The sequence below is a fragment of the Homo sapiens genome, chromosome 3, assembly GCF_000001405.40.
Source record: "Homo sapiens chromosome 3, GRCh38.p14 Primary Assembly".
NCBI lineage: Eukaryota > Metazoa > Chordata > Mammalia > Primates > Hominidae > Homo > Homo sapiens.
In genome coordinates this window covers 171,685,756-171,701,554 of record NC_000003.12, presented here as the reverse complement: position 1 = coordinate 171,701,554, position 15,799 = coordinate 171,685,756, and the positions used below count along the sequence as shown (strand labels likewise).

General features: G+C 37.0%; 1 protein-coding gene and 1 non-coding gene across 13 annotated transcripts in view; one reads left to right on the top strand and one right to left on the bottom strand.

The window, feature by feature from the left end:
* Positions 1-15,799, top strand: part of PLD1 (phospholipase D1) — a 210,080-nt gene that overhangs the window by 108,929 nt on the left and 85,352 nt on the right. For 7 of the 12 annotated variants that reach the window (XR_007095693.1, NM_002662.5, XM_047448316.1 and 4 more), the window contains 5 exons: positions 1,729-1,810; positions 9,113-9,223; positions 12,679-12,879; positions 13,971-14,184; positions 14,757-14,870. Coding sequence is in view for 11 of the 12 variants with exons in the window: in NM_002662.5 (NP_002653.1) it covers positions 1,729-1,810; positions 9,113-9,223; positions 12,679-12,879; positions 13,971-14,184; positions 14,757-14,870 (722 nt within the window). In the remaining variant the exon portion in view is untranslated. Of the gene's footprint in view, positions 1-1,728; positions 1,811-5,062; positions 5,693-9,112; positions 9,224-12,678; positions 12,880-13,970; positions 14,185-14,756; positions 14,871-15,799 lie in introns of those variants that run through there. The other 5 variants (NM_001130081.3, XM_005247534.3, XM_047448317.1 and 2 more) reach the window with 3 other exon arrangements.
* LOC124906352 (small nucleolar RNA U13) lies at positions 8,241-8,344 on the bottom strand. The gene has a single exon (XR_007096319.1). It is a non-coding gene; the product is annotated as a small nucleolar RNA U13 (small nucleolar RNA).

The window sequence follows — 15,799 nt, the reverse complement described above, 5'->3', positions numbered from 1 at the left end:
GGGTACACATGTTTGTGGATTAAATGAAATAAATGATGATAAATACTTAATTGCAGAGTATGACATTAAAAGTCTCCCCCATACCGAAGCTCTTTGAGCCCATATTTAATGTACACATCAAAAAATTGCAATTGTATATATGTTGTTGGCTATCTCTCACTTTTGGTGAACTAGCAGTGCACAGCAATGCATTTTACTATTTTAAAACAGATTTCCTTTTAATGCTTCTTTGATCTTTTCTGATCAATTGCTGTGCTTTATTTGTTTGTTTGCTTGTTTGGACATAGATTACCTTTGAGTTTGTTTCCTACTCTCAATTAAATATGCAAGACTTACACTGTCCAAACTCTTCCATTTGTCTGTTTCCTTATTTATTTTACCCAATAACGTTTCCTTTAGAAACTTTATCTCTGGGTTTTTATTTTCTTTAACTGAATGAAATAGAGCATAAAATTGATTTCTTTTAATCTCTTTAGCTCCTTAAAGCACTGTTGATTTCACATGCTTAGAGGGCTGCCTGGGAGGGCAATACTCCAGTGCAGAATTCCATAAGGCTTTCATCCTGACATAGTCTACCTCTGCTGCCTCAGGTCTAGCAGTTCAGTGGAGAAAGGAGTATTTTCTACTGCTTCTTTTTTCTAACTACAGGGAAGTTACATCATGTACATGTTTAACTCAGAAACTAACTTTAGAACCCAGCCCCAGGGGAAAAATGACTCTATTGTACTCTTAGCTGCCTTGTGAAGCTTAGCTTACCTTAGCTGCCTTATGCCTTACTGAAGGAGAAGAGCCTAGGAAAAATTTCATATATCAGCCGACCTTCCTTCTCCCCTGTCCAGAAAGCCCCAGGTTCCCTCAGATGCTGCTTCTTTGTATAGGAAGTCATGTGTCTGTGTATCTATTAGAATGCTTTTAGTTTGGGGTAACAGAATGTTCAACTAAAGAGGGCTTAAACACTGAGGATGTATTTTTCACATTTAATGTTAAGTCTAAAGTTGGGCAATCCTGAGGTTGGCAGAGTGATTTAGTGATTCTGGGGTTATGGTCTTCCCCTTAGAATTTCAATATTGCTGCACCCCTGTAAGCATCATACTCCCATACAACATCCATCCCAAAGCTGGAAGTGTGGGCAGGGCTTTCTCTGAGAGAGAGGGAGAGAGAGCAAAAGAGAGGGAGGGAGAGAGAGCGAAAGAGAGGGAGAGGGAGAGAGAGAGAGAGAGTGTGTGTGTGTGTGTGTGTTTGTGTGTGTGTTTCAGGGAGGAAAAACTTTCCCATTAAGCCCCTGTGTACCTCCTCATATATCTCATTGTTCAGGATTGTGTCACGTTGTGCTCTAGCTGCACAGGAGTCTGGGAAAGCAAGTATCTAGAATATTCAGTCTGTGGTGGGAGAGAGGCTCTGAGAGCAGGGAAGAAGTTGGAGATTGGCTGTGGGTGGGCAACCAACAGTACCTGTGTGCATATGTGAGCATGTGGGTATGAGAGACAGTTAAAGAGGGGGGAGAGAGAGAGAGAGAGAGAAAGAACTAAGATTGATGTTTTGTATAGCTAAAGGCTATTTTTCCCATACGAAGTTGTTCCTAGACTCATAGTAAAGCTTTGGATTACCCATCACAATGGAGGATGATAATGGGGTTGAATTGGGCTGAAATTGCCTTTGCTTCCTATGACACAATCAGAACTTTATATTTTGTTTTAGTTACTTAAAATCTTGGTTTCATTGTTTCAGGCTGAGTCCAGAAATCTTCCTGAAACGCCCAGTGGTTGAGGGAAATCGTTGGAGGTTGGACTGCATTCTTAAACGAAAAGCAGTATGTACTTTCCCAGAAAATGCTGATATAATTTTTTAACTGTCTGTTGTCTCTGAAATGCTTTTCTTTTCAAAGCCTTTCACACGTATAACTTTTCACTTTAGAGTTTGACAAAAAGTAGGATAACTAATGTTTTCCAGTTCATTTGGTTCTATTTTATTCCTATTGCTTTTGAGTGCATAAATATTTTAGACTAATTCACAGCATGGATTATGTTAGCATCTCTAATTCTTATTTTTGAATCAGTTATGGGCAGCTAATTTTATAGGCAAAAAAATTATAATAAAATTTCATCATTGAATAATAAATGATGAAATGGAGCATAGCATTTAATTGTATTCATTATTTTGTCATTTAAGCAAAAGGAAAACTCATCTGGAGAATGGTTTCAGCTAGATGGGGCTAATGTGGTGTAGAATAATATTAAAGGGGGAGGAATAGTCACAGTTGGTGGTGTTTTTTCTCTGGTTTTGGTAAAGTTCCTGGTAAAAATGTGAAACTGTTTCCTGTGGAGTTGACCCTGTACATTCTGGGTGAACATTGAATGTGTGCTTTTTAGGTATAAAAAGTAAATAACTGAAGCAGCCTAGGCTCACTAATGACTGCATTCATATTTCTAGTGATTTTTTTAATGTAATAGGCCCTTAAAATTAAATCAGTTTAAATTAAAAATAGATCTGGGATTTATTATTTAGCATGTCCAAATTAGGAAGTGCTAACTTTTTGCTATTATCAGAAACTGTCTTAACCTTTTTTTTTTTTTTTTTTGAGATGGGGTTTTGTTCTTGTTGCCCAGGCTGGAGTGCAATGGTGCAGTCTCGGCTCACTGCAACCTCTGCCTCCCAGCTTTAAGCAATTCTCCTGCCTCAGCCTCCCAAATAGCTGGGATTACAAGTGCCCACCACCATGCCTGGCTTTTTTTTTTTTTTTTTTGTATTTTTGTATTTTTAGTAGAGACGGGGTTTCACCACATTGGCCAGGCTGGTCTTGAACTCCTGACCTCAGGTGATCTGCCCACCTCGGCTTCCCAAAGTGCTGGGATTACAGGCTTGAGCCACCGCTCCCGGCCAACCTTTTTTTATTCTGTCATTAAACATGCTAGCAGAACGTGTGGAGCCTAAATAATTGGGGTTAGCATTTTTCTGTTTCTCATAGCTTTCACTCATTTCTTCTTTCCTATCCTCTGCATTCCACTTTTTATTTCCCCATTCACTTTCCCCTTTTCTTTCTGTATCTTTTCCCCATGCATTTACTTGAGTATTTCTGGGGATATCCACAAATATAGTCAGACCTCACTGCTAATATTGAAAGCAAAAGAAATTGATAATATTTATTTGAAACACATTCTGCCAAACAACATCATTTTGATGGATAGTCTAGTTTGTTTCATCAATAGAATTCCAGTTACAGAATTGGACATTTTGATTCTGAAAACATTATTCACATATTTATTAAATAATTCATCATACGGTTACTGTCTCCTATGAGCCAGCTTCTACGGTAATCACTAAGAATGCCACCATGAATCAGATTTGAACCTTGCCAGTGGCGAACTTGCTGAGGGACTCATGTCTTGGGCTCAGTCCTAGCCTTACCAGACTACTTTCTACCTATTGAATGGGCAGTAACTTTCTCTATGTTTCTCTCAATGAAATGGCATCTTTTCCATTTTCCCTCAAGATTCTATTTTAGTACATTTTTCCAGCCTTGCGTAGCAATCTGTACTAATACTAGTAAATTTTTGCTTATAATATTTAATCAGCACCTCACTGTTTTAGGTTTCAATCAATATGTATTTATTGAATGTTTTCTATGTGCAGGGCATTTGGCTAATCATATGAGGATGTACATAAATAAAAGCCATGATTCTTAAGTTGAAGGAGCTTATAAAATCTGCAGAAGTGTCAGTTGCATGCAGAAACAATGCCCCGATTTAATGGCAAGAGGGAAAGCATTGGGCTTTCCCAATGGAAAAGGTCCAGTTGGGGAGCTCCACACAACATGAAGGATGTGGGGCATTTAGGATGGACAAACATTTTTAAAAGGGAAAGAAGAACTTTCTAGGTGTAGTAGATGTAAACAGCAGTGCCAAAGACTTTGTCAGGCACGGTAGGGTGGTTCATCACATCTGAGTGTTAGCATAGCCGGATGGGGGATTAAGCTGGAACTGCTAGTTGCAGCTGGGATGCAGAGGCTTTGTGAGCCAAGCTAGTGGTTTGACTTTATGGGAGACAGTGGGGCAGTACTGTGCGGGGCAGGGCGGTGTGGGGAAGCAGGGGTGGTCTGATCAAAATAATGTGTCGGACCCCGTCTCTACTAAAAATACAAAACAATTAGCCGGGCATGGTGGCGGGCGCCTATAGTCCCAGCTACCCGGGAGGCTGAGGCAGGAGAATGGCGTGAACCCGGGAGGCGGAGCTTGCAGTGAGTCGAGATTGTGCCACTGCACTCCAGCCTGGGCAACAGAGCAAGACTCTGTTTCAAAAAAAAAAAAAAAAAAAAAAAAAGGTGTCCGGAAGGTGACTCTGATAGTGGAAGAAACTGGGAAGAGCTGATTCAGAAAGCTAAAGTTTAGATCACTTGAAGATACAGTGTCTACAAGACATCTAAGTTAACTTGAGAAAGCTAGTAAATGCCTCGGTAGGGCTCAGGAGGAAGATCCTGCAGGCCTGGCTTCCACCTCTTGTTTGCTGGCATGCGCTTGTTTACTGCCCTTGGCATACCTGTCTGGTTACCTTTTCTGTGTCTAGTGTGACTTCTCTTTACTTTTTTGGCCCTTGAACCCTGGCGAGGTCCCTCGTGAACACCATGGCCAAATAAACGTTATTGCCTGATAACAGTGCTTCATTTCCATTTCATCCACTTCTTGGAGCTGGTAATTTTTAAACTGTGGGTAGCGATATTTAAAATTTCCTAAAGAAATAGTAATACAATTAAAGATTGATTTCTTGGTGGTACATTTAGCGGAGTTGCTCTTCCTTAATCTCATTCCACCATATTATTACTTTGTTCATAAATTTTTTAACACTCGGATCACTCCAAATTGACATTTTATATGCACATAAATATGGCTTCACATAAATAATTTAGTTTCTGAAAGCCACACACTAGCTTTGCAAAGTATGAGGTTGAAACATAATATTTGTTTTTTGCATTAACAGGTCCCAGAGGTCCACAAGGTTTATTAAAATGAATGTTTTATTTTCTTCTATCTGATTGTGCAGATATTCTGAGAGGAATTTAGGAACTGTCTCTGCCTTATAGCCAACGTATGGCAAACATCTCTTATGATGGCTGTTTCTTAAGAAAAAATAGAATATTTTATGTATCTGATTAATAACCAAGTTGAACTTCTCCTATTTCTTTGGCCTTCTGATCTGCAATGCCATCATTTAAAATAATAAAAGCCAATCTTCAGAGGCAGACTGTTCACAACTCAAAGAAATCAGCATCTCAGGGCTTTCCACAGTTCTGCACTTGCTATGCTAAGAGGTGAGATAAGCTGCATCATACTTATGGCAGCCAAATCCCCACACGCAATTTTGTGTATCTCAACCTTAGAAGCTTGTGATATTTCCTATGAAACTTAGACTAATGGGAGAATTTGTCTTCAGGTTGATTTTCTGTCCTGGATCACAAGGCACAATGTAGAGTTGCAGTCAGTGACCAATAAAAGGGAAAGTTGTCCAGAACTGAGAAATGACAGGAATAATCACATCTCTACACAGAAAATCAAATGAGTCTTATCAAAGTGGTGGGCAACAGTGGCTTGCAGGGAAGGTATCTTCAGCTTCAAAAATGTGCTTCAAACAAAATTGGATTTTAAAAAAAGGCACATGAGCTTTTGTGCTCTTATATCCCAATGCTGCCTGCTTTTAAACGGTGAGGAAGTGATTTCTTTATATCCTTTACTTTACATCTTTACATTTTCTTAATATATTGTATTGGGGAAGTCCTTGGCAAGTGACAAAAACATTAGTGAGCATCCTGGGTTGGGGGGGTGGGGTGGGCTAAACTGTCTTCAGGCAGTGGACAAACTTGGCTGCATTTAGAAAATATTTTCACTATGCTCCCTTGAGCAATCGGAGGAAAAGTTGGCTAAGAAACAAAGTCACTGATTTCCACTATAAAAATTTTCTTTTCATTGTCTTCCCATGTAGTTTGAATATCTAAAGCTCCTAAAGATTTCTACTGTTTATAGTGTTATGTCTGCTCTACTTGACAAAAAACTAATTAGAAAAGAGGACAGAACTTTCATCTTTTAAAAGTCATGTTTTATGAAATTTATTCTATGGAAACTTTGGGTCAGCTGAGTTCACCAGAGATAAGAAACACTGCATTGCATAGGCAACTCCAGGCCATCTGTTTTTCTACTTCTCCTATTAATAATTTCCGTCCCTTTCTTTAAGCAAAAAGTAATTTCCCCAAGGGTATTTAAAGGCACTAGGCACTAAAGCATGGGATGTTTTGAAAGTGTATTTTTTAAATTGCAGAATTAACATCATCAGGTTTTTTTTTCCTTTGGCTTTCATTTTGCAGAAATATTTCCCACATTTTGTATAAGCCTACACTATAACAACCTGGAAAATGCCTTCATCCCCAAGGAATGATTCATTCGCCTTTGCCCTTTATGGCTAGAGTTTATAATAGTCAATACCTTGACCAAAAGAAGAAGAATGCATTGCTTTATTATCACAGGAATCTTGTCACTAATTAACTGTTTATTGTGGCTATAGGTGTAGGTAAATAATTATAAACCACATACAAATGAACTTTCTATCTTTAATTGCTTCCTCATTGGTCATTTGTCTTTAAGCTAAAAAGACAAAGTCTCTACCCTATTTCCTTTAGAATTATTTCAATGAGAAAAGACAGTATAGAAGAAATGTCAGGTATTAATAAATGGAGAGTAGTAATGTATTCCATTAGTGTTAATATCTCTATTATTTCAAAAATCCATTAGTTATGCAGGTGAGTAGAAAACTGTAGGATTCAGGCCAAGTTCCTAATTTGCAACTACTACTCTTCATGAGTAATAATGTCTTAAGCCTAAGAAGCAGAATTTCATCTGCTTAAAATAAATGGGTCATGATGAAGAATGTCAGGTGTAATGTTCTACTATTTAGGTTGAAATTTTGGGTTTTACCCTTTGTATTATATCTTTTAGTGAAAGGCTTTTTTTTTTTTGTAACCATTATTCAGTGCTGAATTCTAAAATATTCAAATACCAAAAATAGAACTGAACAGTAGAGGAGAAAAATAAAATAATATTGTAATTTTCCTTTAGAGCCCTTCATCAGTGGTTAATTACAGAGCACTCTCTGGCCAGACCATTAAAATTAATCTGTTCACTTTCTGCCTATGCTTTTACTTCTTTACTGAAATATGTATTTATATTCTTGATTGTAATAGTACTTGCATAATTATAATAAATAATTAGCAAGTACTAAAAGCCAGCTGTTAACCAGAGAAATAGTATGACATATATATTCTTCTTGATCCTGCTTTTTTTAGAGCAAGAATGAGTCTTCTCCTAGTACTCAAATCTTGTTAATGCACACCAGAATGTAAATCTAGTGTGCACCTCCAGAAATACATACACCTTTAAGATATTACTAACACCATGAAAAATAGAGTGTTAGTATTTTGAAGTGTTGTGTTATTATAAGGAATTTAGGGTCCAAAACGTGCTTTTTAGTATTGGCAGAACAATATTACAGAAATGTTTATGTGTTTGGTTTGCTCTAAGATTTTGTATCTTGTGATGTGATCTAGAATCTAAAAACATTAACTCCTATGTTATGTTAGATCGTATAGCATTACAAAAAGTTTTAGTTCTTGTAAAGTAGGTGTGTTCAACCCAGTAAGATATCTTAAAGATTTTTATTCAAATTTCCCTTATAAACAATGACTAATCACCATGGAATCTTAATATAAACTGTAACAAAATTATTTTTTATTATGGTTTATTAAATACACCTGCATCTGTAATATTCTAGAAAGTATTATGGAAAATTTTTACCTTTAATCTCTACGATATTAAATGCCAGGTGTCATTTAGATACATAATCCAGTATATATGCAAAATGTTTCAGAATGCTTTCAGAGCTGCTGGGTGCAAACAATGCAAATTAAAATGGTGCAAACTATACAAAAATAAGGAGGATTCAAGCCTAAAAAGTAAAAAAAGCAATCCACAAGGTGGGGGTGAATAAGCCACAGTTTCCTGGAGGTAATACATTCTGAACTATACATTGGAGGGGGATCCATGAGTGGGCAAGCAGAAGGAGAGGAGCATTCCAGTAAGGGGCAGTTTAGCCTAGCCTGAAAGCCTGTCACCAACCAGAACTAGAATGGAAAATACCAGTGTTTTTCTATACTATTAGCTATTGGACCTGGTCTTTTGGTTTTTGTTTAAATCTTTTTTTCAGATGAGATGGGTAATGTGCAGACGTCGTAAGAAGGTTCGAGTGTGGCACATCTCACGCTTGTGTGTGAACACACAATCATCATGCTCATGAACTACAAAAGGATTGGACATTGTCTTTTTGATTATTAATATTGTTAAATAATTGTATTATTTGTATAGCATGTTAGCATCTACAAGGCACTTTTGATTTAATTTGACTCGATTAAATAGGCCACGGTGACCTTGTCTATTTTCTTTTAGATCCAAGGTCTAAGGAAGGATGAATCAATTGAATTTGGGTGTCCATTTTATACTAAAGTTTTCAATGTTTTGGATCTTTAATCAGTTATTGATTCTTTCTTGATATGACCAGTTGTAAGAATGGAAGGGAGATAGATTTTTATTTTTAATATTTGTGTCTCAATATACGCACTTATGTGTCACTTCCTTGTATTGCCTTTTTCATTAAAATTTTATCTTACTTGTTTATAAAAGAAGTTAGAAAGTACAGTGCAGGCCAGGTGCAGTGGCTCATGCCTGTAATCCCAGCACTTTGAGCGGCTGAGGCGGGTGGATCACTTGAGGTCAGGAATTTGAGACCAGCCTGGCCAACATGGCGAAATCCTGTCTCTACTAGAAATACAAAAATTAACTGGGCGTGGTGGCATGCGACTGTAATCCCAGCTACTCAGGAGGCTGAGGCATGAGAATTGCTTGAACCCGAGAGGTGGAGGTTGCAGTGAGCCGAGATTGCGCCACTGCACTCCAGGCTGGGTGACAGAGTGAGACTCTGAAAAAAAAAAGAAAGAAAGTACAGTGCAAAGGAAAAAGAAAATGAATTGTAACTTCCCTCCAGAGATACTCATTCCTCCATCGGTTTTCTCCTGTGACAGCAACAAGGAGTGAGGATCTTCATAATGCTCTACAAAGAGGTGGAACTCGCTCTTGGCATCAATAGTGAATACACCAAGAGGACTTTGATGCGTCTACATCCCAACATAAAGGTATTCAGGTTCATCTTGATAACCAATGTTTCTTTATTATTCTATAGGATTTTTTCAGGTATGTTTTGTTCTGGGCAGTAATAATCTATAGAATGCCCAAATGTATATTTGATCAAATAGCATTGTGTCCTCAGAAATAAAGCAAAATACTGTACTTTCTTATCTTCCCTACATTGATGGGGGTAAGCAGATCTCACATTTCTGCTTCTCTGACTCTGATAATTGAAAGTGAGAGTTTAGACAAGAACATGTTTCCTGCAGTTGTTTTGATATTCACGAGCTCTATCAAGTTCTCACACTTCTCATTATCCTGGAACCTCTTAGATGTGATCTCCCTGTGACATCCCCTGATCACTGATAGCAGCAAAGAGATCTCCTCTAGGATTTAAAATGCCTTAAAAAATCAATGGCACCTAGTATAAAATACTAATAAAGTAAATAAACATGAAAAGCAATTTGAAAAAGTTCTTTGATATTTTGCCAATATCTAAAACCTATCAATAAATATAACCCAGTCATTGAGGTACATCAAGACATAATGAATTAACAAACCTCCAGCAGGCTTAAAATATGTAACAATTGTATGTTTCACTTGGTTAGAAAAAATGAAAGTGTTTTCTCCCAAAGAATGATTTATTAGGTTGCGTAATTTATATATATTATTTATTCATTCACCAAATTTCTATCAAGTACCCACTAAAGATGTAATTTTGCAACACCAACAACTGTGAGGGAAGAGCTGTTAAAGGAGCAGAGATTTGTATGTTACTGAAGTTAAACTGGTATAAATACAAATTAGAATGTTACAACTTTAAGATGTTACATTTAACTGCAAAGAAAATAGCAATCAAATATATAGCTATTTAACAAAAAGAAATGAGAAAGGAATTTAAACATGTCACTACAAAAAATCAACCAAACAAAACAAGACAGTAATGCAGGAAATGAGAGACAAAAAAGCTATAAGACATGTAGTAGAAAATAGTAGCAAAATTACAGAAGTATCTTACAAATAATTACTTTAAATGTAAATGTATTGACCCCTCTAATCAAAAAACAGAGATTGGTAGACTGGATTTTAAGAAACCATGATCCAACTATATGGTATCTACAAGAGACTCACTCTAGCTGCAAAGACACAAATAGGTTGAAAATGAAAGGATGGAAAGGGTATTTCACACAAATAGTAACCAAAAAAGAGCAAGAGTGGCTAAACTAGTATCAGACAAAATAGACTTTAAATCAAAACATGCTTACAAGAGACAAAGAAGGACATTATATATTAATAAAAGGTTCAATACAGCAAGATATAAAAATTATACATATTTATGTACCTAATAACAGATAATCGAAATATATGATTGAAAGGAGAAAAAGACAGTCTATGATAATAGTTGGAGACTTCAACATCTCACTCTCAGTAATGGTTAGAGCAACCAGACAGAAGATAAGTAAGAAAACAGAGGACTTGAACGTACAGTAAACCAACTGGATCCAATGGGCATACAGAACATTCTACCCAACAACAGCAGGATACACATTCTTCTCAAGTGCACTTGGGGCATTTTCCAGGACCATCTGTTAGGCTGCTAAGTAAGTCCTAATAGATTTTAAAAGGTAGATATACAAACATCTGTCTGACCACAAGATAATGTTAGAAATTAATAACAGAAGGACAACTAGAAAGTTCACAAATTTGTGGAAATTAAATAACACACTGTTAAACAAGCAATGATAAAACAAAAATTCACAAGGGAAAGAGAAAATACTTAGAGACAAATGAAAATGAAACAACATACCAAAATTATGGGACACAGAGAAAGCAGTGCAAAGGGGGAAATTTACAGCTATACTTGCAAGAAGAAGAAAGATCTCAAAATAACAACCTAACTTTACAGTTTGAGGAACTAGAAAAAGAAGAACAAACTCAACCTAAAACTACCAGAAGGAAGGAAATAAAGATTGGAGCAGTGGGAAATAAAACCAGAGGATAGAAAAATAATACAGAAAATCAATGAAACCAAGTTGGTTTTTTGAAAAGATAAAATCAACAAACCTTTAGCTTGGTGGGCTAAGAAAAAAAAAGACTCAAGTTACTAAAATCAGAAATGAAAGTAGAGACATTACTACCAATTCTACAGAAATAAAAATGATTCTAAGATATTACTGTAAGCAATTCGATAACCTAGAGGAAATGTACAAGTTCCTAGAAATAAGAAAACTACCAAGACTAAATCATGAAGAAATAGAAAACCTAAATAGACCTTTAACTGGTAAGGAGATTGATCAGTAATTAAAAATCTCCCCCAGATGAAAAGCCAGGGACCTGGTGAATTCTACCAAACATTTAATGAGGAATTACCACCAATCTTTCTCAATCTTTTTCAAAAATTGAGGAGAAGAGAAGACTCTCTAACTCATTACCCTGATACCACTGAATTGTACACTTAAAAATGGTTAAGATGGTAAATTTTATGTTATGCTTACTTTACTACAATTTTTAAAAAATGTGTTATTAAGAAAACAGTAAGGCCAGGTATGGTGGCTCATGCATGTAGTCCCAGCGCTTTGGGAAGCTGAAGTGGGAGGGTGGCTGGAAGCCAGGAGTTCAAAACCAGCATTAGCAACATAGCAAGACACCCATATCTACAAAAAACAAAAAGATTAGCCAGGCATGGTGGTACACGCCTATAGTCCCAGCTACTCAGGAGGCTGAGGCAGAAGGATCGTTTGAGCTCAGGAATTCAAGGCTGCAGTGAGCTATGATCACGTGTCTACACTCCAGCCTCAGTGAGAGTGAGTCTCTGAGAAAGAAAGAAAGGAAGGAAGGAAGGAAGGAAGGAGGGAAGGAAGGAAAAGAGGAAAGTAGTTGCCAAAGCTTTTGTAATCTTTTTACCTAAAGGTAAATGAAAATAAGATAGGTCAGACTGGGATAATTTTGAAAGCAAGAGGTTACTAACTTCTCAAGGTACCTTTTAAATAAAGAGCTGCCAAAATATCTATATGCCTATATTCATATGCTTAATATTTCAATTCAATGACTGATAAAATATCAATATAATTCATTACACATTTTTCCAGAGATAAATAGTAGTTAAATATTTTTAGCTTTTTTTTTAGTACCAGATTTAACATAATCCTTACAGGGGGAAGGGAACCAGCTTTCAAATTGAGCTGACTGTTTTCTAATGTATTGCCAGACCTCAAGCTAAATGGCGGCTGCCCCAAAATATAGTATATGGGCGTGGGAGCTTGAAGAGTAAATAGGAGTCTTTTTTTTTTCTTTTTCTTTTTGCTAAATGCTGAGAATAAAATTATTTTCTTTGGTGTATACGTTGTACAGTTTGGTATTTGAATTATAGAAAATGCTTTTCAGGGAGAACACAGACCTATTTCATTATGACAGGAAGGACATTTCAAAAGCATATTATCAGTGGGGATTATTCCCTCTCAAGGTGATGAGACACCCGGATCATGTGTCATCCACCGTCTATTTGTGGGCTCACCATGAGAAGCTTGTCATCATTGACCAATCGGTGGCCTTTGTGGGAGGGATTGACCTGGCCTATGGAAGGTGGGACGACAATGAGCACAGACTCACAGACGTGGGCAGTGTGAAGCGGGTCACTTCAGGACCGTCTCTGGGTTCCCTCCCAGTAAGTATATTTAACCTTTATGGAAATGTATAACACGAACATAATTTGTATAAGTTTGTATTAGTAGCATGACTGATTGATTCATTGAATAAGAGATGGTGTCTCCTTGGAGGGGAAAAGAACATTTTAAGTCAATCATGAGACAGACCTGGTTTCAAACACCAGCTTCCCCACCTAGCTAGCTGTAACTTAGCATTGCTGAGTCTGTTCTTCTCTTGTAAGAAAAGAAAACAGATTCAGTGGAATTTTGGCTGTCCCATATTCAGCTTTGTTTTCCATTTTAATTAAGATTTATTTTTTATTCAGAAATAAGATTCATAAACAAAAATATGTGGCAATTGAGATTTAGGTAGTAAAAAGCCTTAAGTATCTGCCACAGTTTTTGGAAAGTTCCTACTTAAAGATATACAAAAACAGGATAGGTCAGTCTGGGGTCATTTAGAGGGAATTTGAGCCAGAAGTGAATAACTTCCCAAAGTGCCTTTTAAATAGAGCTGCCAAAATATCTGTATGTGTATATCAATCTGCTTGCTATTTCAACTAAATGGCTGCCAGAATATGAATACACTTATTAAAAAAAGTGTATATCAATCTGCTTGCTATTTCAACTAAATGGCTGCCAGAATATGAATACACTTATTAAAAAATTTGATGGGCTTCATCTTATTTACTGCTGGAAAATAGTGCAAAACTTATGCAAAAATAGCAATTTAGTGCATAAGGAACAGGGAAAATGATTGACAGAGGAAGCCTTGCTTACTTAATGTTTATTAGAGGAACAAGTTCAGGAGCTCAACACTGAATGTAACCCATGTAATTGTATTTGAGATTAAAAGTTTAATTGGAGTGAAATTTCAAGAATTTGGCCTACTGAAAAAAGACCATAGCAGAACTCCTCATATTCCTTTGGTAGTTTTTAAACAGTTCACAAGAATCCACCACTACCCTGTGGCTGACCTCAGACATTATTGCATGTCTGTTATAGAACCTCCATCATTTGTAAACTTTATACTTCAGCTCTACTTGAATTAAAGAACCACACTGCAGCATGTCTTATGCAGTGTCTTTTTTTAAAAAAAAATTTTTCTCAGCCTGCCGCAATGGAGTCTATGGAATCCTTAAGACTCAAAGATAAAAATGAGCCTGTTCAAAACCTACCCATCCAGAAGAGTATTGATGATGTGGATTCAAAACTGAAAGGAATAGGAAAGCCAAGAAAGTTCTCCAAATTTAGTCTCTACAAGCAGCTCCACAGGCACCACCTGCACGACGCAGATAGCATCAGCAGCATTGACAGCACCTCCAGTAAGTCATGGCCTTGACTAGAATTTATCTTAACTACCCACTGTTCTTCCATAGCCAGACACTACATACCTGTTTTTAAAATCTGTCTTTCTGTAATGGAGTAGAATGAGCAATGTTGAGAGGTCGCTATATCATTCTATTCAACCTCATGCCATTTGGTGGCTTTGTTTGCCTCATTTTAGAACAGATTTATTGTTTTATCCACACAAAAGTCATAACGACCACGATTACCACTTCTAATGGTAGCAGAATGACAAAGGGTTTCTAAAATATGCCAAGCCATAAAAGAAAAAGGTATTAGATGTACTTTATAAACTTTTCTTAGAAGAAATTACATTTATCTTCCTATCCAGAAATATATCAAGCTTATTTCGTCAAACATCAGACTTTCTACATCTTGTAAATTTACTATTCCTTTGAAATCCATCTTAAAGCCCTACAATTTTCTGTTGCACAGAATCTTAAGACTGATGTTATAGCCCTGCCTGGTTTTAAAAATGATCAGCTTTGCTTTCCAGTTTAGAAAATTTGATATTTGTATTTTTTTGTAAAAAAATTCTTAATTTCTCTAGGTTATTTTAATCACTATAGAAGTCATCACAATTTAATCCATGGTTTAAAACCCCACTTCAAACTCTTTCACCCGTCCAGTGAGTCTGAGCAAGGACTCACTAGACCTCATGCTGGTAAGTAATTTGTGAAGTGGCAGAACTCCCTTAGGCTTGAGCTTTGGTTGTGTTGTCTGCTGCATGGGCATAGTGAATGTGTTTCCAGATTGGCTTTCTGTTTGCAATTTTTATGCTACGTATATTATTGAGAGCCTGCTCTGTGCAAAGCATTCTGTAGTATCCAAGATCCCTACTCCCTAAGAACTTATAGCAGCAAAGACAAAACAGACCTAATAAGAGAAAATGCATGGCACATGCAATTCAATAGTGTCATGGAAGTTCTATGGAAGGAGGGAGGAATTCCTCTCTGATGATGCAGAAAGACTTTTTGAGGAGGGGACATTTGGGTTAGGCCTGGAAGTAATTTAATTGGGGTAGGTGATAGGAAGTCATTGCAAGTGAGGGAGGTGAGTTGAGCAAAGGTGCTGGAATGGGAAAGCACCAACTGCTTTCAAATTGTGTAAAATGCATTATTTAGCTAAAATGCAGTTTTTGATATAAGACTAAGAAGATATATGACATTCACATTTGGGAGCTGGAATTTTATTTGGTTAAAAATCTTTTTTTTTTTTTTTTTTTGAGATAGAGTCTTGCTCTGTCACCCAGGCTGCAGTGCAGTAGGGCCGTCTTGGCTCACTGCACCCTCCGCCTCCCAGGTTTTAGCGATTCTCCTGCCTCAGCTCAGCCTCCTGAGTAGCTGGGATTATAGGCGTGCATGACCGTGCCTGGCTAATTTTTGTACTTTTAGTAGAAATGGGGTTTTGCCATGTTGGCCAGGCTTGTGTTGAACCCCTGACCTCAAGTGATCCGTCTGCCTTGGCCTCCGAAAGTGCTGGGATTACAGGTGTGAGCCACCGCTCCTGGCCAGTTAAAAATCTTGAAGGCCTTTGGGTGGATGTGTCATGCTGTGTGAATTTTCAGAAATTACAATCTGATAGCCTTTGGTA